Below are 27,620 nucleotides of genomic sequence, written 5' to 3'. Positions count from 1 at the left end.
AGTAATTAATCTATTCCTGTACTTTGAAACTTTTCTTCCAACCAAGGTAGCATCTGGTTTTCTTTATTTTGACAATTGCAATTTCCCAGTTTCAGGAAATTTTACATTTTCCTTCAAATTAGCATTGTATGTATGAGTGTCTGCCAGTTTCACAGTTTGCAAGTGTAATATCCATTGGATATTTTTATTGGAAATTACGGGTTTTTTAATTTAATAGTATGCTTTTAAAAGGGATGTTATCTGTAAGTCCATGAAAAAATAAGACATTTGCATTAAAATCTCTAAATTATTTTAACACCTCCATTCTATAAAGATATTTGTCTCAGTGATGTTCAAGGATGCATTAGAAAACAAAATATACATACGTTGCCACTTGTATATAAAAACAATTTTGAAGATGTTTCACAAAATGCAGAAAGCAAACCATAAAAAGCAAAATGAAAATATTATTATATTATTGGTGGCCTTTATCCACAAACTTTACTATCCTATCATAAGCCTTATATTCAGATTATTACTTTTATATAAATTATCAGCAACAGCCTGATATCACTCTGGTTATATTATTATTCTCTTATCTATGTCATTAAACACCTTACTACTTAATTATAATCTCTAAGTGGTGTTAATATAAAACAGTTGTAACTTCAACACATTGAAAATCCCTGGTCTAGCTGTTACAACACCATGTCCATAAGATATAGTATATGCCTCTTTTCTACTGCACTTATGTTTAAATGGAATGCCAACATGTTATTGCTAAGAAACATGTGAAGCGAGGATGGAGACACCATATTTATCGAAGGGCACATCTACATTGGCAGGTGTTTTCTGACTTAAACATTTGTTTCAGATAATATTTTATTCAGGAGCATCTTATCAGCCAAAATGTTTTCTCTTTTTTTTTTTTCCAGTTTTGAAAATTCCAGTTTCCTCACCACATATTTTAAGCTGGAAATGTTTGAGAGGAAATATTCTTTTCCTTGGTCCCAAATGCTTCAAAACTCTCATTTCCTCAGTGAAAATCTTCTGTCCAGGCTGGTATTCACACGGAATATTTCAGCTCTTCAGGCATTGAACTTTATTTTCCAAATGTTTTCTCTTTAAAAATAGGCTTTTAGATTGTAGCTTCTCATTTGGAAACAGTTGAAAGGGTATGTAAGTACACAGGTCAAGCGGGAGGGACTTGAAAAGTGCCAATTAGTGTATGGCATTTGTCTAAGACAATTTTAATATTAATCTCGGAAAGATGAATGACTAAGGTTCTTAAAGAAACTGCTGACAATGTCTGGAATTAACACGCTTAATTCTAAATCTGTGGAATTTGACCTTAATTTTTTTGTGAACAAAAGTTCCACTTTGCACTAATTTGCATTGCTGCTACTTTCATTTTAAATTGGAATTTTTTATCACCATCCATCTGTAAGATACCTCCTGTTACTAATTTCTGATGTGGATCCTCTCATTAATATGAGATTCACAATTGCATAGATTAAAAGTTATCTGATCATATCTGGCTCATCCCATGTTGTATCATTCTGTTCCTATATTTGATAGAGAGTGAGTTAACTGTGACAATGTTAGTATATAAAGATAACGAGCCAGATAGTAACTATTAGAAGAGTAGAATTTTAATATATATGTTGACAGTTTTATATTACAGGGTTTAGCACTATTAGGTGGGTTTCTTTTTCTTTTTTAGGCACTTTAATAGAGTAGAAAACATGAACTTTGCATTTTGTGGTCTCATAAATCATAAAGATTTAGACATAAATGACATGATAATGATATTTTAAATGGTTTTCTAAAGCAATATTATGCATGTGAGAGTAAATTTTTTTCTTTTTAGTGATGAATCACTTGGAAAGGTCTTTAAGCAAAACAAATTTCTGTTTCTGATAAAAACTTTTATAAGCATATATAGCAATATAGAAAACATTGTTTTTAAGGATATCTGAAGACCAATAGGTTGAGTTACTGAGAGAGAAAAGAAGCCTCTGGAATCCATTTCCCACAGAAACTCTTCATGCTCTTAATTGGTGGCTTAGATCAGCAACAAAGAAACAAACCTTCCCAGCAAAAGACAGGAGTGCAGTGAACTGAGGATCCCTGTAAGAGCTGAATTTGAGGGTGGAGTTAAAGTATCTATAGAGACATCAAGAATTCTCTTTATGATCTCGGACACATCAGTTCCTGAGTAGGCCAATGCAGAGACTTCAGGATACTTGGAAACTCTCAGCATCTGTTCTTTTATTTGCTTAAAAATTGAGCATCTCTAAATGTTAAAATACCATCTTTAATATCAGTGATAATTCACTGAAGGATTAAAGGACTCTTGCTGCTACCTGGTTTCAGTAATTATAATAAGCTTTATATAAGGCTGTGCATTTTTTGGCCTCTATCATTCAACTTCCCCAGTTCTTTGATACCTATTATCTCAGCTTTTTTTCCCCAATCTTCCCAGCGTATTAACTCTGAGAAGAAACGTGTACTTTGACTAGTGCTTCCTAGAAATGATGCCTCTATTTTCTTTCCTGGAAAATAAGGATGATGCTACCTACCTTCCAAAGTGGTTGGGGTGATAAATGAAATAACATTTGTGAAAGTGCTCAGCTCAGTGCCTCGTACATAGAAGGTGCTAATAAATTAAGGCTCTTTTCCCAGCTCTTCTCTGCCCCTACCTGCTGGTATGATGAGAATTGCTGTATGATGAGATTTGCTGGTACCCAGGGTAATGAGAGCTTTTGGAGCCAGTGGTATTTCATGCTACCTAACCATGCCATGTAGAAGACTGCCTACCCTTGGTAGACTTCCCTGTTGGTCACCTTAAACTCCTTTCCTCTCAAGCTTCTCCTATATATTTACTGCTATTTGACTTAACAAATCTGAAGACCTGAAGTCTAAATGATTAGAAAGTGTAACCCATTTCTAACAGCATCCCAAGTGAAGAAAAGAATTGAAAAACCAAATAAATAATGTTAGTGTGAGAACCATAAGGGCCACAGAAATTACCATGGAAGAGTGAAAAGAGCTGTTGCCTAAGTGGCCAGAGCCCCTTTCCCTTTCCTAGTTTTAAGTAGCACATGCTAGTAGGGTACTCTAACATTTCGTAATCATTTACAGTATTAGAGTATTAAGTTAAATCAGGTGCAAAGTTCTTCCTAGAACAATAGCACTTAGATACTCTAAGAAAATATAGTCAAATATATTTGAAAACTGCTGCGTGCTATACCCTCCTCCCATACCCCCAATCATGTAGAGTCGCAAAGTGACATTACAAAGTCTGTGAGTTCCTGGAAGGTGAAATTTGCTTAAGATGATCTATTTCAGTGCCCCCCCCCCAATTATTATTTCCTAAAAATCATTCTGGACAACATGCTAGACACTTCCATCTTCAGTGAGAAACCTAATTTTAAGAATATGGCAATCCTTACGTCTTAACTGGCCATTCTTCTTAGTGTAAGAGGAATATACATCATCATATCCTCAAATTTGCTACTGAATCTGTTTCCCTAAAGAAGGTACCATTTTTCTGGCCTTTTTGGCTTATTTAAAGTCCTAACGTGTCATTAGTTATTGTTGGCAGTTAAAAACAGCTCAGGGAGTTGATGGCAGCCTGTCATCATAGAGCACCTATTTTTTTGAGCTTATCCTGAAATATGAGATGTATGATTACAAAGAGATAATTGCTATTAACAATGATTTTTTTTCTTTTTGTGGATTAAATGTGGTTTTTACCAACCAATATTAATTCAGTTCAATTCTAGTAAACTCCTATTTCATGTCTTCCATTATAACGCATTGTGCTGGAATGCCTGCTGTGCCTCTCCCACTTTTGTGGCCGAGCGCAATACACATGGGACAGCAAATAGAGGTTTAGAAAGGTTGAGTGATGTTCTCTTTGGCCTAGAATGTGTTGAAGAGTCTGGGAGGTAAAGTCATGGTCTGGCACACTGGTAGAGGAAGAGTGACTGAAGGGATTCTTGACCTTTCTGTGAAGAACACGGCACAGGCCCTTTGCCTGCTTAGTGTCCCATTCCCTATTGTGACAAACGAGGTATAACTAAATTCCAGCATTTCTCAGGTCCTTTCATGTTCTAATCATCCGAAGAACCCTTTAGCTAGTTAATAATTCCTTTTCATCCTAATAGAGCCTTAGAGAATAATTTCGATCATAGTTAAGCACAGTTAAGTCAAGCAGAGTTAATTAATAGGCATTTCATGTTTCGTATGCCAAGTATTTTTGTAGATGGGGATGAGCCCTGGAACAGGTGTCATAGACATGTTATTGTGGAGGTATGTGTGTGTGCCCAGATCAGGAAGGAACACACGAGGACTGGGTAAAAAGGGAGAGAAAAAAAGAGAAGAATGTGAAGGAAGGTGACTCTAACCTGACTGAGAGTAGTGTTTCTTTAGAGGGGGGACTACAATTTGTATTTGTGATTGGAAGAGATTATGTAAAGTGCTGAACTGAAGGAATGTGTAAAATGTACATAGTGATGAAAGATGGGAGTTTGGTACTGAAAGTATCTGGTGGAAATGGAGCAATGGCTGGGGCATGTTTTCAGTCTAAGTGACAGAAAGGCAGGTAAGTATATTTTTTGCTGCTCTGACTTGCAAAGATTAATAGTGTATACGTGCCAACTAAAGGTTCAATATTAAATTTCAGAGGGGTTATCAAAATAACTACTGCATTATTCCACTAGAAACGCTCAGTAAACAGAGTACTTTATTTCTTCTTAAAAATTAAAGGCTTGATTGTTAAACGTTACACTTGACATTTGATTAGCATGACTGTCAAAATGTTCTCTGTCTTAGGGGTAATTAAACATTATGGGAAAGCATATCCCATTTTCAAGAGTAGCTTTTTGATCAATACTACAGAAATATCACATATCGGAAAAACATATATGATTTGTTCATATACAAGTCAGAAAATTACACTAATGATTTAATTTACATTCAACCCCAGCCGTCTATTTTACAGGCAGAAAATTTGTGCTTCCTGTAATTGCACAAGCAATTAGGCATTTACACTCTAAAAATTAAGAGAAAATGTCTGATTGTGTATGCAATATCTGTGCCCACAACTAACAGTGGCTACAAACAATCCTGCTACCAAAATGAAAGCCAGGGATAAAAAGCCGGCCCCAAGTCATTGCCCTTTTGGAAGCCTGGAACATGCTTTGCTCATAACTTCAGTGGCTTTGAAAGTTCTGTTTTTGACAGACATAAGCATTAGCCTGTAGTGCTCCTTACAATCTGAAGTACAAATTATTATCATTTAAATAAAGTGGAAATGGTGACAAATTCTGAACAATTTATTATAAAGATATATTATATTTGAACATTTTCTCTGGAGTATTTTACACCAATCATGTTGGAAATTTATGTTAATATGACTGCCTGATTTTTAAAGTTACATTTCCTGCTCTTAAAGCCCACCCAGAATTTGTCTCTAGTCACTTTACACCTCTTCAAATGACACCCAAATATTTACAGCCCCAAAAGCACCACAGGAATTACATGAAATGCATTACATTCACAAAAAGCTGTCGTAGAAATGAACAAAGGATGATTCTGTGTCTTTCCATCTAAAATGTCTATTTTGTTAGTATACCACTGAATTTAAGTTGTGTTTTTCTCACTGTAATATGGAAAATATGCTTTCTGTGTTCAATGCCTATCTTTCAAAGTAAGAGTTAGGAAGAAAACAGTGTCCATTTGCTACTGAGTGTCTTCACTCAATGTCTCTAAATAAAAGCTAAAGACTTAAGACCCTGATCCAAGTTAAATGCCCTCCATGCAGTAATCAAATTCAGTGATTAAAAAAAAAAACAGCTGTTAAACACAAAAATCTATGAGATTAAATTTTGCTATAACCAAATACTGAAAAATCTCTCCTTTTGCTAGACCTATTTAGAAGCTCATAAGAGTAGCCAAGCACAACCAACTCTTAATTCTACTTTACTCTCTCAGTCTGATATTCCAGCCATTATTTTTGTTGTTTTTCAAAAAATCTAACTACCCTTGCACTTATGTCATAAAAAATTCTGCCTTTTTTCCCTTTTTTAATATTTGTATTCAAGACAAACAACAGGAGGTTGAAATCAGGCCATTTAAAAGAAACATCTGCTGACATTTATTCATATGCTACATGTTCCACTTTCATCATTGAATGTAATGATAAACACACATTCCAGTCAATAATGGCAATTCCCAGCCAAGCTTTACAAATGGTCTCTTTAACACCTAAATTGACAGCTCGGGAGATTTTGAGATAGAAGCTAAATATGGTACATTTGGACACTGTTTGTCTAAGTCTAGGATGTCTTGAAGACTTTAATAAGCAGGCATACATTATAAAATAGTAGAAAGTCTTGACTGTGCAGGTATTGGAGCAGTTAAGTTTGACATTTTTTTGAGCAGATTAAATGCAGAAAAAAAGAGAATCTCTCAAAAACAAATGGGCCCTTTGAAGAATAAAGTAAAATAAAGCTTTGACCCACACTATGTGGAGAATAGCTTCAAGAAAAAAAACTAATTGCATATCACTAAAATTATAGATCTTAATTGCAGAATGCTAAATACGTTAAATATTTATTTTGAGTCACAAGTTAATTGAAATAAACTCTGCTTTGGGTTTCAATTATTTTAAGAACATTTTAATAAAATATGAAATGTGTTTCATTTATTGCTTGCAATGAGTAATTATGTCAGCTTTTAATTTGCTAAGGATATCTTTCAAAACTATGCCATAGTTTTTGGTGCCTATTCCTCATTTTTCCTCAAAGGGAATCTTTCACAGCAAAGTGAATTAACACTTAAGGTAGCCATTAGAGATCCCATGGTAGGTTTGAAATTGGCTTGAGTCTCCACTGTGAGGACATATAAATACATGTTCCTCTGAGACATTAAGGATTCCATTTTATGTGTATCTTTTATCCGTATCCCTTTACATTTTAGTTCAGATTGATTAACCTTATAACTGAATCATAGACTGTGTTCCAGCCAAGCAGAAAATCACAGCTTTGCCCAGCTCCGTCATGTGTGAAGAGTTTTTCTTTTCAAAACTCTGCTGTTACTGTGGTTTAAAACAGGTCACTTGATCCTTGACTGAAAAGAATCTAGACATTTAACAAACTATCTCTGAAACATAATGAGAGTTTTGTAAAGTTATCTCATACAGTGTCATCCAAAGAACGAGTCACACCAATCTGCAGTACTCCGATTAATGGTATTTTTCTCTGAAATCAGCTCAATTCAGGAGACAGCTTGAAATTGTTTTTTGTTTTTTGAGTTTATTTCTCTATGCAGGACAAATGGGGCTAAATTTGGAATGTCATATTACAATGCTTTCATCTGCTCCCAAGGCTTGTTAAGCAAAGTCACCAGACAAATTCTAACACCTTATTATTGTTATATGTGGAAAAATAAAAAAACCCACAGTATAAACTTACAGTCCTGTATGGCATGTGCCACAGCAATATAAAGCCTTTCTTGATCATGGTAGGTGGAGGACAGGTCACAAGGACTTCTCAGGCAATAAGATAGAGGTCTGGGTTGAAATCAGGGTTTTTATCATCAACATTTAAATTAACAGTAAGTGCATCAGAGAAAAACCTTAATATCATAATGTTCTTTTTCATAATGTCACCTCTTCTATGAATCCACTGAAATTAGTTTAATGAAATTTTCCTCCAAACACCCACTTTCACATATTCACATCTCTACTGTGCAGTAACATTATGTGGGTAAAGCAATTTGTGAAAGCTTTTGGGCAAGATTTAAAGAAACTGTTTAATTTCTACTGATACTGTATCCTAAAAGCTTTTAAACATGGATGTTTGGTGGGAGTATAACTCAGACCTGCAGCAACTGCACTTGAGCAGACTGTACTTAAGGGTAAAAGGGAGGGAAAGTAGTATGCGCTCTCTCCCAGGCCCCCAAAGCCAGAGCGGAGCGAAGATGGGACGCCAAATAAATCTGCCAGTGATTACGCTAAAGGAAATTATGATCTTGTTATAGAAACCATTAAAGGAAAACCAGAGTTGGTATGTAAATATTGTTGCATCATTATACCACTGAAAAAAACAACCTAGTGCAACATTAGTATGTTATGCAATTAACAAAATGAAAAATGAGCTGCTTGAATTTAAAGCTTTTAATGTTTTTCAAACAGATAATAAGCATTTTCAATACCAATGTAAAACATAATAGAAAAGGTCTCCCTCAAAGAGTGACATTTTTCGTCAATACTTGCTAAGCCTTAAAGAGCTGATATGCATTCGCCTATGTCTGTTATTTGTTATTTTCTAACTCATCAAACATCAATCACCTATAAACTAAAGGAGGATGAAGATAAAGACTTGCTAGAAAATCAGAAAATGTGATATTTGTGATGCTTTCAGAGATGTGTTTTTCTGATTTTGAGAAAAACGGCTTGGATAGCCAACTTGGTTTAGGCAAAAGCCTATTATTAAATATTGTAGGAAACATTTTTCATCTAAAAGTATTTTAAAATGTTAATTTAATTATTCAGAATGGAAGAATTATAAATTACAATTAATATTTCATCTATTATTCAACATTCTTATTGACTTCTGAAGAACCAGCAATTAATTTATATTATCAATTACTCTAGTAGAATCTAAAAAATAGTTTCACAGAGTTACTTACTTCATTGGAAAATGGGAAAACAAAAATTTCTTCAAAATATGTCACAAAACATTCTCATGCACTATAGTCTGCCAATATTGTGCAACGATTTTAATATATATTAATGATAACAATATTGTTCATCTTACTGTGCTACTAGCTATAGCTGAATTTTAAAAACCACAACTATTTGCTATTGAAAGCCAATGTATTGCCCAATCAAAAACAACTTCATAAAAATGAACTTACATTACCAACAATGAAGCTATTTACTTTGTAGATGATGGTGAATTTTCAGTATCAAATTCAGAACAGTAAGGAAAAATTCATATGGGCACAATGCAACTTTAATAATTTCTAAATGAATATAATTTACTGTAGGCACTAGAAAGTTAATATGTTCTCTAAAGATTTCTTTAATTTAGTTGTTGCTAATTTATTCACACTAATACAGAAAAAAATACTGCAAAATTTTTCATAACAAAAAAACTGTGCATATCTCTGTGTTTTAGCTGGCATGTGGTCCTACACAGATGGTTTGGGGCTTTCTTTGCTGCAAAACAGATGGGCCTGCACTGTCCCTTACCAATCAAAAGAGAACTTGAAAATATAGGAATATCTTTACCTACATTGCGTCCTTTAATTCAAGAAATTAAAATGCCTAAAAGTATAAATAACTGCCTATGGAAAATAATTTTTGAAATGGGATGTCATATGTTGAAATTATACAGTAACCCAGTTCATGTTTAATGCAAAAAATATAAAAACTTTGGCTTGTACTTGATACTGTTTGTAACATGCAACTATTAACTTAAGAAATTTACAACTATGCAATGACTGTTATCATGTGTTCACCTTGCCCAAAAAACACGGCTGTTTTAAAACTTCAAGTGTGGTTAAGCATATTTCAATTCAAAGTGATCATTCTAGGCAGCATCATCCATTGAACCAAGTTAGCAAACACATATGAGTTTGGTACACTTAGAACTGACATACTTTTGCAACCAAAATAGAAGCTGAAACAAAACTCCGAGTTAATCTGAATGCTTTAAGTATTACTTTAATTATTCGCAACAGAAATTTAAAAAGTATTTTGTACATTGAATCAGAATTGAGGCCTACTTTCATCTTTAAGGTCTCTGTTGAAATGTGGAAGCATGACATTCAGGATTATTAAAAGCACTTTCTTTGTTTTGTATATATCAGTAAATTTTACAAAGTAATGTGACAGCACCCTCTTATAGATAGCATCACCATGTGAGAGACAGACATCGTGGGCTCAATGAGCTTAGAATATAGTGTTGCTTATAGGAAGAACTCCCACTGCTTTTATCTCCAATATACAAATAAAGTTGTCAACATGTAATACTGCAACCAGTTTTTGATATTTTGTAAATTTTGCATTCTAACAGCGAGTAACTTTTCTGACCCTAGTCAAGGCTTTTAGAGGCTGATATTCCTCTGTGGCATTGTCCGCAAATGCCAGTAGAGCTATTTGGTCTACCTGTATTTTTTACCCAGGATAAGTGGTCTTCAGAGTACTATGCAATGTGTATTTTACTCTTCTCTAAAGTAATGTCTCTAATGCTTAACCATAAGGAAAAAAAAAACTATATATCTATATATTTACATGAATGCTTATACATATGTTTATATGTATTTACAACTATACATCTATAACTGTATATAACTATACTTATAAAATCCTATATAGATATATCTATAGGATATATCTCTATCCTTCCATCTCTATATCAAGATACATATATATCTTCATTCCTTGCAACTGTTTTACCAAGGAATACAGAAAGACTTGTTCTCTACATATAAGCAGCATATCTTAAATTGGTTTCTGTTTATAATGTTTAGATTCTAAAAAGCAACTGAGTATTTTTTCTTTTGTCTGTGTGATGCAAAATAACAGCTTTGCTTATATTTTTTCAATTACATGAAAACCAGTGTCTCTCATAGATCTATGATGAAAGGTTTTGCCAGGCTAGTAAATGTAAATAAAACTATAAAATAAATATTTTTAAGACAAGTAACTGTTCCCAAGCACTCCTAAATACTTTGGCAGCATCTACATAAATAAACAGTGATATGGTAATTACAAATAATTTTTATCCATTCTTTAAAAATAGTTTCTAAAGATGTCTTCTAGCCTAAACCTAGATCAAATTACTGCAGTTAAATAAAGTAAGACCACAATCTTAAAAAGGTCCCACACTTTAGTTTTCTAATAAGTTAGCCTTTTAAAATATATACATTATTAAAGTTTTCTAGAATAGTTTTCCAGCAATGTACGAGTTATGAAGTTCTCTGGCTTAACATTCAGTAAATAAACATTAATTATACTATAGAACCAAGGCGCATAATCAGCAAATTTAAGTTTTGCTGCGTTAAAAATAAATCTGAAGTACTGGTAATATTCTGGCTATTCAGAGGAATCAATGTAACCCAAGATAAGAAAAAACCTAAGGATATCATTTCAGTTTTTATTACATGAAAGAAACTCTGCTTGTAATGTGGAGAACAGGTGGGTGTGGAGAAGCCCATAGTTAGAAATATTAGCTGTAGGACACCAAGTTTCAGATAATTTAGTGGGAGAGAGAAATGAATAGTTTCCAACCTAATGTGGAACTCTGAGTGGTGAGAGTCAGAGGCTCAAGCAAGGCTTTGTGCAGAAGATGAGTCTAAAGAGGAAATAAAATGTGAATCTAATTTTGACTGGGAAATGTTCAAGAAAAGATCATTATTATTTTGTGACTGATCTGACAAATGACCAAGAATTATCTGAATTTAATTCTCTGTTTTCTTTATTATTTAAACATAGAGTTATTTTAAAGTTTCGTGGGCTTTACACATTATTCCTCATGTCCTTTAGTTTATTATTTAATTAATATTTATTTATTTATTTTAAAATGTATTAACTATTCATTGTAGAAGATTTGGAAACTCTTGACTAGGTCCCCTTTCTCCCAAATTCTTACACAAAATAAAATAAAATAAAACAAAGCAAAACTCCACAAATTATCATAGGCATAACATTTAATATTTTAGTGATTTTTCTAATATATGCCTTTTATATAAAAAATATATTCATATTATGGGCTGGGCGCAGTGGCTCATGCCCGTAATCCCAGCATCTTGGGAGGCCGAAGCGGGTGGATCACAAGGTCAAGAGATCGAAACCATCCTGGCCAACCAACATGGTGAAACCCCGTCTCTAGTAAAAATACAAAAATGAGCTGGGCATAGTGGCACACGCCTGTAGTCCCAGCTGCTTGGGAGGCTGAGGCAGGATAATCTCTTGAACCCAGGAGGTGGAGGTTGCAGTGAGCTGAGATTGTGCCACTGCACTCCAGCCTGGGTGACAGAGCGAGACTCCATCTCAATGTATAAAATATATGAATATATATATTCATATATAATATATAAAATATATATAATATACATAAATATATTAAAATAAAATAAATAAAATAAAAATATATAATATATATAATATATGAATATATATTCATATTATATAAAATTATAAAATAATATTGTTTTATAAACAGATTTTTCTACCATATAATGAACAGTTTCCATATCATTAAATATTATTTTCATTGCAATATAGAATTCCATTAATGGACATGTAATTCATTTAACCCATATTCTACCACTGGGTATGTAGATTATTTTCATTCCTTTTTCCTATTCTAAGAAATGCCAGTAGGGACGTATTCTCATAGGTATGTTTTTGAAAGCACTTAAGGTATTTTGAATACACTGCTTAGCAGGATACAATAATATCTATTCTCCTCAATCAATAAATTCCTATAAATAAGTCTCCTTTCCTAAGCAGATGAAAGTATTAAACTACAAACTGTGTGCCTCATATACTAGTAGAGAATATTATACTAGCCCATCAGATTTATTTGTTTATTTTAATTCTTCCATCCTGCACTACTGCCTTGTGCATCTTACCCTAGTAATCAAAGAGCTGAGTTTTTCTGAAGAGGCACAAACTCAAAAAATCCCAGTTGTATCCTGTCACCTTATGCATGGATATTCACATCCTGGCAGCACTGTGCCAGACACCAGCACACCCATTTCCCAAATAGTCTGATTTATGTCACTGTGGAGCCAACCACCAGCCAATCCACACAGCTGGATTCAGGAATGGCCATGAAACCTCCAGGCAGAAGTTTGAAAGTCAGTATATGAGTGACTATGTCTTTTTTGCCCCCTTTGCTATGAGACCATGTCTAGGTAGAGGCTGACCTATTAGTCTCCTCCTGTAATGCACATTTGGAATATAGCCACAGCTACAATGGACAAAGGATGAGTGAAAAATTACACTCTGCTGTTGTAAGGTACTGAAATTCTGGATTCATTTGTTATGACACATTGATGATCTTCTCCTGACTAATACACTTAGAGAACAGCAATGTATTCATAGAAATAAGGAAATCTTGAGAGGCAACATCGAGAAGTGGATGAAGCCAGTCTCTTTAGGCTAAAACCTTCTTCTTGCCTCTTTCTAACCAAGTAAACTTGAAGACATTGCATAACTTTTATAGGTTCTTAACCTCCATGGAAAATGAAGATAATAGTACCTAGCCTCAAATAGTTATTATGAAGACTGTATGATATATTACATGTAGCATTTAATGTCTGATAATACATAGAAAATCTTCAATATATATCAGCTCATTTTTAAAACTAGCATTAGTAGTTTTAAGCAGAGATTACAGCAGTAGAGAATTTGGGTTTTAACTCAGAAACACCTGGCTTCAACTCTCAATTCTGACACTCTCAGTGTAAATTTGTGTTCATAACTTGAGTTTTCTGAGCCTTTGTTTATTGACTTACAAAGTGAGGATAAGAATGCCTACCTATTGTATCACTGAGGCGATGAAATAAGTTTGTATGTATAGGGAGCACAATGCAGGGCACATTGGAAACACACAATAAATGATGATGCTGTTATGATTAAAAATCAATAGTGATCATTTTAAAAAGACTCTGAATGATGGAAAGGTACTTTGGTGGCCATATTTGGCCATCTTCTCTGGATATTAGAATCTCAATTTGTTGCTTTAAAATCTGCTGCTGTAATCCCAGCACTTTGGGAGGCTGAGGCGGGCAGATCATGAAGTCAGGAGATCGAGCCCATCCTGGCTAATATGGTGAAACCCCGTCTCTACTAAAAATACAAAAAATTAGCCGGGTGTGGTGGCGGGCACCTGTAGTCCCAGCTACTCAGGAGACTGAGGCAGGAGAATGGCGTGAATCTGGGAGGCGGAGCTTGCAGTGAGCCGAAATAGTGCCACTGCACTCCAGCCTGGGTGACAGAGTGACAGTCCATCTAAAAAAATAATAATAATAAAAAATCTGCTGCTAAACTTCTAAATCAACTTGATGGGTCAACTCTGATTTTATGCACAAATTTCATGTAGCATGACTGCGAGAATCATCTTTGATCTGACCAAGAATCTCTTTAAATAATTAAACCATGTTGAACTACATAAAATATGTGTTATACAAAATGTAATCATCCATTAGTCAAATCTGTCTAGTGAAAGAGGATTTCAAGTGTTTGCTGAGAGACAAAGAACAGACAAAGAAGTGAACCTACCTGGTTTATAGTCTTGATTCACAAAAACAGGCCCTATGAACTTGGAGAAAACTTATGGGTACAAGTTTTCTCATCGTTAAGCTTACTTTGTCATGGTTCATTAGGCAATGACTGAAGTAGGAGAAACTGTATATTTGATTTCCAACACCCTGAGGTGATAAAAAAGATAGTTTTTGTCATATAATTTCAGCATAGTTTTCTCTTCAAATGTAGAACTGCGTTGAAACTATCAAATATAAGTGACTTTTGAAAGTGCCAATAAGCTAGGACCTTACTTTGCATGGCTCCCATGGTTTTTGAAGTTCTTAAGTAAATTCAAAGTAAGCGACACCAGCATCACCATAAGTAATGATGAGTAAACAATCCCACTTGCCAGCTCCATGCCTAGGTTTTCCTCATTGTAGTGAATGTTGTGATGTGAGCATGAAAGTAGGAAAAAACTATCACTTTTCAACAACGGTATTAATTTTTTCAAATCTTTCATTTCTCATTTTAATACCATCCAATATTTCTTCATTTTCCCCCATTACTTGTGTGGTTTTTTCCCAAAACTTCTCAAATTATTTGCAAAGAGCCCCTTTCACAGAAGTAAAATCCAACTTAAATAGAGAATATTTAAAATGGGACATAAGGAGAAAATGTAATTTAAATTAGATGCATGGATATGCTTCAGACATCCATAAAAATGTAAGATATGGATAGAATTAGTTTTAGTTTTAGTTTTATAATACCATCAGACCTCAGGTATCTATTTTTATGACCTTGAACATCAGGAAGAAAATAGTAAAAAACATTTAGTTCAAGATCTGAGTGTTTGCAAACATCCAGATGTTTGTTTTTGTATAACTAATGCACACTTAAAACTTTTTTATGTCAGTTATATTTGTAAAACATTGGCACTTTTATTTTTATTTAGAACTAGAAGGAATAAGTGGAAATCAGGAGAAATATTAAAGACATTCCAGTGTCACTGAGCATGCCGAAACCTGAAAACATGGTAAGTTTATTGCTTTGCCAAATAACAAAGCCTTCTAAAAATGACTTAAAACTTTCCATGCAGGCAAGGGGCATTACATTAGGATGTCTTTGTATTGTGGACCAGCGCAGGGGTATCTATCAGAAACAGACCAGCAAATATTTACTCTCCTAAGGTAACAGCAGGTGAAAGGCAAAATAGACAAAGCAAAAACTGAAAAGATAGACAGGGAGCTAGAACAGTATGAGTGATGCTATGAAAGCCCCAAGCCATAGTGATACTTATAAGTCTGGCTAAGAATACAGTTTAGAGGGAATCTAGGTTGGGTGTGTTAATAAGCCTGGTATATAATTAACTCAGAAAAGTGATGGTGGGAGGCTTAGAGAAGGACTTTGGAGGGCTTTGAATATCAAGTCAGAGTGTGGAGTTTCTTCTGGAGACAGTGGGAAACCAAGATAGTTTGTGAGCAGGGGTTGATATAAGCAGAGTGATGCCATGAGAAGATTGATAACCTAGCAGCAATGTGAAAAAGAGAAGTGTATGGAGAAGGTTCCCTGGTTTTCATATAACAAGGTGCCATCAAGACACAAAGGGACTTTTTTTTAAAGCTTTATTGGCAGAAATCTTATATACCTAATTCTGTTTTCTTTTAGGCTTTAAAATCTGCATACATGGCAAAACATTATGTTCAATCTTAAATTAATATATATTTTTCACATTGAGTTCACAAAAAAAAATTGGGGGGGTCTCATTGCAAATCTTTCTCTTTTGACAAAAAAATCTTCCCTGTGGTTAGTAACATTCAGCAAAAGCACTAATGTAGAATAATGTGAACATCTAAAGAGAAGTAACTACTGCAGTCTAGAAAGCCTTACTCAGTCTCTACCCTTTCACGTAAAATTAAAAAAAAAGACCAACACAAATACTTAATCATGAAATCTCATAGTAGCTTTACTAGTAATTAGAAAGGGCCTATAACATTGTGATTATATAACTAGAGAAGCAGTATATTATCACAAGTCATTTTTCTTCTTTCTGAAGAAAACAAATATTGCCATTTCACTTGAAAACTTGATGATATTCATTCATTTCTTCCTGTGATGAACAACATTATTAACTATAAACAGGTAAGTGGAACACAAATGAACCACTGATGTGTTTTCCAGAACTGCCCTTGACAAAATTTTGACACTTTTAAACTTACAAATGTTGGCTCTGTTCAGTACATATACAATACAATTTTCATCCTTTCTAAATAGCATCAAGAGAGGCAGAAACATTCTGAATCTTTAAGCAGATAACTATAATTACTATAAAGTTTTAAATATCATCTCTTAAAACATATTTAAATTATAAATGCCATAGAGGGATTTCAAATATAAGAAATTTCAAATACAGTTAAGGCAAGTGTCATTTCCTTTTCTATTTGTAACTTGTCTACCTTTCACAAAACCCCACAAAGAAACATTTTGTCAAGTAACGATATAATAAATTTGACTTGTGATTTGAAGTGTTAAAACAAAGGATTTTTTTCAATACAGGTAATATAAGAGGGTTTTCTGCTGTACTGTTTCAGAACTCTTTCTCAGTAAAGAAACCTTATCTAATCCTGTTTCATCCTTTAAAACTGCCTACACACTAATCTCAAGGGACAAATTTAATACTTTGCAACAAAGAGAATATATCCCTTTTCAGTTTGAATAGAGGAATTGTTAGGACACCAGTGAGGTATGAATAACATTATAATGCTGCCATTTACTTGGCAAAAGAAAAAGAAAGTCTCTTGTTGCAACCAGAAAAGAAGGCTTCCTTCTTTGGGTTAAATTTTTTGACCCCTGGTATATCCCCAGACACCTATGTTACTGTGCTATTTGGGTCTTCTACCTCTTGCGAAGTAAACACTGAGCAAATCTAAGTAAACAGTTTGTTTTAGTTGAAGATAGAAAGACTCCATTTAATTGAGTTTTGATGATAGATGTGCTCCAAATGGTGCAAACAACTTTGACATGGTAAAATAATATTGTCTTACGGCATGTGTAACACTACATAAAGAATCTTAGCTTAGCACTTTCTGAGTTTACAACATTTAAGTGAGAAAATGACAAAAGAAAGCCAAACTGTCAGAAACAGAAAAACCTTTAACAATCCTAAAATACAGACTATAATTCTCTTCTTTATTCATTTGATTTTGGGAATAATCTTTGCAACAGAAGGAGGGAATGAGAAAGCAGCTGAACTTTGTACTTAAGAAACTTTACTTTTCTGTGGTCCACTGCATAGAGTTGAAAATGACACCACAACTAACACTTGAGCATTGATTCTATGATGTGGTTGTGGGCAAGTGGTTGAGGCAAATCAACATGTCAAGGAAGGTAAACTCTAACCGAAAAAAATCCTTCTCTACTGTTTTACCTACTACCACTTATTGATGATTTTACGTAAAAAGTATATTGTTATTAAAACCCCATCCATCCATAGAAATTAAAAATTCAAAGTCTTATTTGATAAGTCTCTACATAAAGAAGATGCCTCATTTTAAACATTCATTATAAACCAGCTAATTTTGAAATGGCAAAATGCGGGTGTTAGATTATTGTTAAACTCAACAATCAACATTTTTATTCTCTTATCTTCACAGTACAGCTAATTCTTTTGCCAGCTTTTGATAAATGTCTTCTTAAATATAGTCTTACTAAACATCAAGTATATATATATATTTTAAACTTTCTATATATATCTATCTTAAACTTTTTAAAAACAAACTTCTTTGAAGAGTTACTTTATTTGATTTTATTTACATAATATGGCTAATCTCATTTGTACTGTTTTCACATACGTATTACTCAGAATTCACGTCATCACAATGGCTCCTGCTAAATACAGAACAGTATCTTTTGGGATCAGATACAAGATCTCATGTAATTTCAAAATCAGAAGAGGTCAATCTGTAGCTGAACAAGTGATTTTGGTTAATTATAAGTTATCATCCAAGATTTTCTTGACATTCTCAAATCAATTCTACCCGTAGTAAAGTCAGAATGTTTCTAAGTCCCATTCAACAAGACTGGAAAAGTAAATATATCAGTGATCCAATATTTGTAAGAGAAGTTGTAAACTTTGAATACACTATCTGCTTCTCAACAGGAACTTGTTTTCTTAATTTTATTTTTCTTTTGTATTTTCAACTTCTCCCTCCCACCCGATTCTTGGCTTTGTGCATCAAAATATTTTCTCCTTGGCTATACATGGCAGTCCACGCCTGTAATTCCAGCTACTCAGGAGTAGGAGGTGGGAGGATCACTTGAGCCCAAAAGTTCGAGACCAGCCTCGGCAACAAAGCAAAACTCTGTCTCTGAAAATTAAATAAATATTATCACCTCTCTTTTAAAACTCAAAAACTCTTAATAAACACTTCACAATCAACTAACAAGTCTATGAAATAATGCGTAATTTTATTAGTCATCAGGAAATTGCAAACTGAAAACTCAAATTAAAACTCACTCTAGAATTACTAAAGTTAAAAAAGGTGGAAAATATCAACTGCTAGAAAGGATGTGGAGCCACTGGAACTCATGTGAACTGCTGGTGGAAAAGATAAATGATACAGTCACATTGAGAAACCGTGACATTTCCTTTCTTTTTTTTAAACTTTTAGGTTCATGGGTACATGTGAAGGTTTGTTATATAAGTAAATTCGTGAAGATTTGTTATATAAGTAAATTCATGTCACAGGAATTTGTTATATAGATTATTTCTCAAATATATACTTAGGCTATAATCCATTAGTCAGTCCTAGAAAAATAAAAAGATAGGGTCAAACAAAGACTTGTTTACAAATGATAGACCAATAGTCACCAGTGGATGACTAACAATATATGGCATATTCATACAGTGGAACCCTACTCAACAATACGAAGCAGCAGACTACCGCTACACACCACCAAGAATATTATATTAAATGAAAGAAGCCAGACAGAAAAGAAAATGTGCTGTATGCTTCCGTTCATATAAAATTCTAGAGTTAGCAAGCCGAAGTTATAATGATGGAAATTAGGGGATCAATTTCCTTTGGGGACTGACCTGAAAGAAGCATAAGGGAGCTTTTTAGGATCATGAAAATGTTTTATACCTTGGATGAGCTGGCGGTTACTTGATTGTCTTGTTTTAAAAACTATTTGAACTGTACACTTAAAACCTATGTATTTTCTTGTATGTAAATTGTAACACAATTTAAAAAGTGGGAATTACAATCCTGTTTTTATTTCATATAAAATCCATCTCTTTCAACAGCCAGACTTCTTGAATGGGTTGCTTTTATTTGCGTTCTCCATTTTCTTACCTTTGCGCAGCCTTAAACTCAGTCATTCACTACAGTAATCCCCCACCCATATGCTGTTCCTCTTTTCCAAAATTACCTTCCCCTGGATGATTTGGCTTGGCTAATCCTACTCATTCTTTTGATTTCGACCTAAACATCATCATCTCCTAGCCCTCTAGACCACACTGAGTGCTATGGATATGTATTTCCATAGAATCCTTTACTTTCATAATACAGCATTCAGCATCTCTTCTTATAATTACTTGCTTAAATTATCTCTCTTTACACTAAGCCATATGCTCTGGGCAGGGATGTTTATTTTGTTCACCCCTGAATTATCAGTACCAAGCAATTTGCTTGGTACATGATACTTGAAAAGCTATCTGTCGAATGAATAAATAAGTAAATGAATGAGCCATCTCTCATACTTTTCATATACTTTTTATCTCTCGTACTTTTCATATATCAGCTCTATCACTCTTCCTTTGATTTATTTCTATTTTCTCTTCCACAATTCTAGTGAGTCCTTAACATCTCTTCCCTAGGCTTTTGTAATACGTTTCTAACAGATCCCTAGGCCTCTGGTCTCTTGTGTTTCTAATCTAGTATTTGCATTGCCACAAGAAACATCTACCTAAAATGTCTGTTAACTTGTCATTTTTTTTCTCTTTTCAGTATCTTTGATTACTTACTACATAAATAAAAAACTTTCAACATTATTTTTCTGGATCAATCCTTTATTTGTCAGGTCATATCTCAGGATATGTTTCTTGTATCTATTTCTACTTTCTCTTTACCATTTGAACTGTTGCAAACCTCAACTTCTTTCTACCTCCAGTACCTTTCCATTCTAGTGCATTTTCCACAGAATTGACAGTGTTATCTCCCCATAATAAAATTTGATTAAATTGATTGTTAGTTTAAAACATTTTATTGGCCTGCTATTGTCTACAAAATAACATTTACAGTTCTTAATTCTGAAAAAAATGACCTCTATAATGTGATTCTTTAAAAAAATTGTTCCAAAGTAAGGAACTACAAATGTTATTTTCTAAACAATAGCAGGCCAATAAAAGCCTTTAAACTAACAAGGGATATAATCAAATTTTATTTTATGGGGAGATAACACTGGCAGTTCTGTGGGAAATGCACTAGAATGAAAAGGCACCAGAGGTATTCCAAATACTGTGATTTGATCAGCACACATTGTATTCTTGTATCAAATATCACATGGACCCCATAATGTGTATTTGTAATACCTATAAATAAAATATTACAAAAAATTTGCACATACTATTCGTTTGTTTTGTTTTGTTTTGTTTTGTTTTTTGAGACGGAGTCTCGCTCTGTCGCCCAGGCTGGAGTGCAGTGGCGCCATCTCAGCTCACTGCAAGCTCCGCCTCGCCGGTTCACGCCATTCTCCTGCCTCAGCCTCCCGAGTAGATGGGACTACAGGCACCCGCCACCACGCCCGGCTAATGTTTTGTATTTTTAGTAGAGACGGTGAAACACCGTGTTAGCCAGGATGATCTCAATTTCCTGACTTCGTGATCCACCCGCCTCGGCCTCCCAAAGTGCTGGGATTACAGGCGTGAGCCACAGCGCCCGTCCCTGTTCTTTATTTTTTAAGGTCTATTTCTCCTTTCCTCACTTTTAAATACTCAATGAAATGTCATATTTTTAGTGACCTCATACAAGTCCCCAAGCTTGGCTAATTTTCTTGCTTGTTCTTTGTGCTACCCCATTACTTAATTCATGTTTCCACAACACTCCCATGCTGTATCATAATTTTTTCTTTTCATATTTGTTTTCCCTTGTTAAGACTATGTTTTCTTGAGGGCAACAATAATGTATTATGATTTTATTTTTATTCTCTTTACTTAGTACAATGCTTGGGATAGAGCGATAATCAACGAATATCTGTCGACTGAATGCACTAATAAATGATGAATTCATTCCAGTTTTGAATGTATTTGACCTTTTCGCAAGCCTTGATTTTACTTCTGTGGTTTGCTCAGCTTGGATTGCCTTTCTAACTCTGTGATTAGTGAAAATCTATATCTTTTAAAGGTCTGGTTTGACTGATTCTTTTTATGTGGCACTCTCCCAACCCTCTTACGTGAGAATTAATTGTGCCTGCCTGTATGTTCCCTTGGTGGCTGTTATGTATGTATCCATTATTTAACTCAACAAACATAATATAGTGAACTGGCTATATGGCAGGCACTATGGATGCTATGAAGGTGACAGCAGAGAATGTGACCTGCTGGCTACCATTGAGAAGTTCATAGTGTAATGGAGAAATGCATTTGTAAAAATATAGATACAACTTAATCTGTTAAATGCTATAACCAAGGTGAGAACAAAATGCTATAAGATCAGAGAGCTTGGAAGAATTAATGTGACATGATTCATAGGCAATGATTCATAGACTGGTTGAGATCTGAGCTGGTGCTTGAAAAAGGCATAGGAGTGTGACAGGAAAATAGGTGGTTGTAAAGATATTCTAGGCAGAAGAAACAGCCTTTGTAAATGCACAGGTTCATGAGAAAGGATTCTGGCAACTGATTCACCCTTTTTATCCTCCACAATGATCTGAACTTCTTGTCCATGCATATAACACTTTTGAACTCTAGCGAACAACTTACTAACTCTCAGCACTATAGACTCCAGTCAGCCTCTTCAATACATTGGATTTGGTGTCACCTGGAATAGTAAAAGCCTTAAAATTCTTAATTCCAATATTTCCCTCTCATACTTCCAATTCATCCACTTCCTTAACCACATTTATTTTCTGTACTTGTCATGATCTTATGACCCTCCAATTCACATTACCTCTCTTTTATGTGTCCCCCTTTTTTGTTTTCCATAAGAATGTCTTGTTAAAAGAGTAACTTAATAATTTCAGAAAAATAATAACCAGAATTTCATGTAGAACAATTTCCTTTTTTTTTTTTCACAGTATCATTAGTTTATCACATAAATTGCCTAGTACTCTTTATCTGGAAATTTGCAGACATCATTCCTAAATTGGTCTCGATGTGGTGATTGGTGCATTACAAGTGAATAACAACAGTAAATAATTCATAATCAAATCTCCCTTGAAGACATAAGTAAACATATAAATAACTGTAATAAATTAGAAGGGAACATGATGACTTTGATTTGATTGACAAAACTACCTGATGCTTTGTCTCCAGGGAGACATCATCAGGCATGATGCAGATTCTCCACTGCAAATTAGAATTCTATGCACGACTTTGTTCTGAAGCTCAATTAACTTTGAAATTTAAAAATGCTTTACAGAACCAGGCTTGGGTTGATGAAAAGTAGAGTTATTAGTTTTAACCACAAAATAGGATATATTTCCAAACTATATTGAAAGACCAAGATAAACTAACATGAAACCAAGCTTTCAGGAAGTAACTAATGTATAAGAGAAAATAACAAAAGTCTCAAATGTTCTGTTAACAGTTTTATTTTGTTTTTGTTTTTAAGTTATTGTTGTTTTGCATCTGGCTTTCTGTTACATTTCTGTAACATTTCTGTAGCTATGTGGCTTTTAGTACTTTTGGTAACATAAAAATTTCAGTCCCGCATAGACATACTTTTGTAAACATAGGCGTATTTATTTCTGCCAAATAGAGATAAAGAGAAATAAGTTTTCATACCAAGCTATCTTTATATTTTGCAAAAGAAGCCACATTGAGCCATTTAAAACAGAGTACTTAATTTCCATCTCCCCACTCCACCATCCCCATCAAATGTTGTGTCTTACCCTAGTCTCCTTTTCCTTTCTTCTGCCCTAGGACATGAGCCTTTTTGAGACTGTGGATGAAATCACACAGAATCCAAGGTTTAACTTGGCACCAGAAGATGGTGCCAAAATTGCTACATTAATTTAAATAGCACACTCCTTTTAGAAATAATAACTTTATTTATTTTTTTCAGATAAATTATTAACCAAACAACACTGAAGTTCATTTAATTTTTGGCACGTGTTTTGCTTGTGGAGAGTGTGATGATAAAAGAAAACACCTCAAGAGGCGGGCTCATTTTTAGGACTTGTTTACAAGGTTATGACACACTCCCATTTATACGTCTAAGAATGCATTGCATTTTGTGAGTGCTTATCTCATTTATAAATAATGATGATGTGGAACTTCACCTAGCAGCAACATAAAATTCTATGGATTCAGAGGTAGTATACAGATATTGGATAAAATCTGTAGCCTCTGAATTGTGATCCCATCTCTGCCTTAGTTTAAATCTGACTTATGAGTCTCTTAGATTCTACAGGTTCTTCTTGTGAAAACAAACAAACAAACAGAGAGTAAACAGCACTCTGCTTTCTTCAATGTTATTATGAGAAACGAATGGGATAGGTAGTATACACGCAAATATATATTTTACTTTTCATTTTAGCATGTTACGATGAAAAATTCCAACATATCCACATGTTGAGAGAACAGTATAAAGAATCTCCATGCACTCATCCCCAACTTCCATGAATATAAATTCAGGGCCAATTTGTGGCATTTATGTTCCTATCTACTTCTCAGTTTTTTATGTTTATTTTTATTTTTTGAGACGGAGTCTAGCTTTGTCACCCAGGCACCCAGGCTGGAGTGCATTGATTTCAGCTCGCTGCAAACTCCACTTTCCAGGTTCAAGCGATTCTCCTGCCTCAGCCTCCTGAGTAGCTGGGATTACAGGCATGCACCACCACGCCCAGCTAATTATTGTATTTTTAGTAGAGACGGGGTTTCACTGTGTTAGTCAGGCTGGTCTCGAACTCCTGACCTGGTGATCAGCCTGCCACAGCTTCCCAAAGTGCTGGGATTACAAGCGTGAGCCACCACGCCCGGCCTCAAAATTGTTTTTAAGCAAATACTCAACATTTTATAATTTCATCCATAAATATATTGGCATTTATGTCCAAAAACTATGGTCTCATAAAAATCACAGAACCGGCTGGGCACGGTGGCTCACACCTGTAATCCCAACACTTGGAAGGCCAAGGCGAGCAGATCACTTGAGGTCATGAGTTTACGACCAGCCTGGCCAACACAGTGAAACCCTGTCTCTACTAAAAATACAAAAATTAGCCAAGCGTTGTGGTGTGTGCCCATAATCCCAGCTACTTGGGAGGTTAAGACAGGAGAATTGCTTGAACCCAGGAGGTGGTGGTTGCAGTGAGCCAGAGATCACGCCACTGCACTCCAGCCTGGGAAACAGAACGAGACTCCGTCTCAAAAAAGAAAAAAAATCACAGTACCATTATCACAGGTTAAATAATTAAATAGTAATGATATAATACATCAAAAGTAACAATCTAATATATCAAACAATACATCAAATAATCATTGATAAAATCCAGCATTCAAATTCCTCCTCTTTTCTGATAAGTTTTTGCAACACTTTGAATGAAGATCCAAATAAGGTCCATATATTAGCGTTTGTCCATAAATTGTGATTCAATGTTGTTTTAAACTATGAGTTACTCCGCTCCTTTTTTCACAATGCATTTTATTTGTTGGAGAGCCTCATTTATTTTCCTCATTGTGTCAACAAGTGCTGTCTTCTGTATTTCTTGTAAATTATGGCTATATCTAGAGCCTTAGTAAAATTTATATTTTACTTTTCTCTTATTCCAAAATTGTATTCCTAATATTATTTTTTTAAACATTATTTTCTCTACAAACAACTTTCCCCTACTATTTCTATTAAAATTTTTCAGTCAGGGCAAACCCATGTGATATACTAAACAAGAATAGACATCATAATGCTCTGAAACCTACCTTCCCATATGTTTAATTTACGACCAAGAAGGAATTACTGAGTTGTACTCATTGCCTCTCCTCCTTCCCAATGAAACAATAAGTGTTCAGAGTTATGATGAGTATTTATGTTATTATCCCTCCATCCTCGTTTCTTTCTTCTTCTTATTCTTATATATATATTACAATCTTAATTGTATTTCACCATTTGAACAATGTAATACTGAATTACATATATGAAGATTATAAAGCATGATGATAACATGAAGATGATAAAACAAAATAAAACAAGATGATCTTCTAGATGTTACATTGAGTGTTACACTAGAACATCAATGTAACATCTAGAACATCATGAATATGGCCTCACTCCCAGTCCATCCTATCTCACTGCCTACTTTCTCATACGCAAGCACTGTTCCTTTGCTTTATAAAAATCAGTTTTATTATATGTATAATATCCAAAAACGTTATTAGAGTTTACTTTTTAAAGCTTTATCAAAATGATACAATATATAATAGTTACCTGGAATTGAATGTGTTTATTCAAACTGTTTTAAAGTTTCATCCATGTGGTTGTTCAATTTATTTTCCCTGCCATAAACAATTTAATTTAGCCATTTATTTATTAACTCTCCTATCATTAAACATTTGGGTAGTTTCCAGTGTTTTACTGTTTCCCAAGTGAGACTGTAGATATTCTTATGGTTGTTTCTTGGTATACGTGTCCCAAAGTGTTTCTAGAGATTCTCTTCAGCAGTAGAATTGCTGTGCAATATCGTGTGCACATGTTCAATTTTACAAAATAATACAAAATTGTATCCAAAGTAGTTTGCCATCCTAACAGCATGTAAGCATCACCACTTATTAACAACATCTTCAATTTTTGGGACTACCAGAATTGCTGTTTTTTTTAAGAAAGTAGGTATGAAGAGTATCTCATTTTTGACTTAATTGACATGGCACTGATTAATAATGACATAGCATTTCGTTTTCCATGGGTTATTGCCATACATATTTCAAATCCTCTGAAATTCCTGTTCATATATCTTTCCTACTTTTGTTTTTGTTTTAGAGGAATCGAAAATCTGGTATGCATTTTAGATACTACTTTTTGTCAATTACATGTGTTGAAATTATAGTCTCTCATTTCGTGGCTAATCTTACAACTCCTTTAAGAATGGCTTTTGATGAACGTAAGTTTAAACTTTCTTTTTTTTTATTATACTTTAAGTTTTAGGGTACATGTGCACAACGTGCAGTCTTGTTACATATGTATACATGTGCCATGTTGGCATGCTGCACCCATTAACTCGTCATTTAGCATTAGGTATATCTCCTAATGTGATCACTCCCCCTCCCCCAACAACTGTCCCCGGTGTGTGATGTTCCCCTTCCTGTGTCCATGTGTTCTCCTTGTTCAATTCCCACCTATGAGTGAGAATATGTGATATTTGGTTTTTTGTCCTTGCGATAGTTTGCTGAGAATGATGGTTTCCAGCTTCATCCATGTCCCTACAAAGGACAGGAACTCATCATTTTTTACGGCTGCATAGTATTCCATGGTGTATATGTGCCACATTTTCTTAATCCAGTCTATCATTGTTGGACATTTGGGTTGGTTCCAAGTCTTTGCTATTGTGAATAGTGCTGCAATAAACATGTGTGTGCATGTGTCTTTATAGCAGCATGATTTATAATCCTTTGGGTATATACCCAGTAATGGGATGACTGGGCCAAATGGTATTTCTAGTTCTAGATCCCTGAGGAATCGCCACACTGACTTCCACAATGGTTGAACTAGTTTACAGTCCCACCAACAGTGTAAAAGTGTTCCTATTTCTCCACATCCTCTCCAGCACCTGTTGTTTCCTGACTTTTTAATGATCGCCATTCTAACTGGTGTGAGATGGTATCTCATTGTGGTTTTGATTTGCATTTCTCTGATGGCCAGTGATGATGAGCATTTTTTCATGTGCTTTTTGGCTGCATAAGTGTCTTCTTTTGAGAAGTGTCTGTTAATATCCTTTGCCCACTTTTTGATGGGGTTGTTTGTTTATTTCTTGTAAATTTGTTTGAGTTCATTGTAGATTCTGGATATTAGCCCTTTGTCAGATGAGTAGATCGCAAAAATTTTCTCCCATTCTGTAGGTTGCCTGTTCACTCTGATGGTAGTCTCTTTTGCTGTGCAGAAGCTCTTTAGTTTAATTAGACCCCATTTGTCAATTTTGGTTTTTGTTGCCATTGCTTTTGGTGTTT

General features: G+C 34.4%; 1 long non-coding RNA gene across 3 annotated transcripts in view; it reads left to right on the top strand.

The window, feature by feature from the left end:
- The window catches only part of LOC102724934 (uncharacterized), a 181,069-nt gene that overhangs the window by 30,326 nt on the left and 123,123 nt on the right, over positions 1 to 27,620 (top strand). For all 3 annotated transcript variants that reach the window (XR_001750707.2, XR_001750708.2, XR_943701.3), the window contains exon 4: positions 15,204 to 15,284. This is a non-coding gene — a long non-coding RNA (uncharacterized LOC102724934). The remainder of the gene's footprint in view (positions 1 to 15,203; positions 15,285 to 27,620) is intronic.

This window comes from Homo sapiens, chromosome 14 (assembly GCF_000001405.40).
Source record: "Homo sapiens chromosome 14, GRCh38.p14 Primary Assembly".
NCBI lineage: Eukaryota > Metazoa > Chordata > Mammalia > Primates > Hominidae > Homo > Homo sapiens.
Note: the sequence above shows the minus strand (reverse complement) of the source record. Positions and strands in the feature narration are given on the sequence as shown.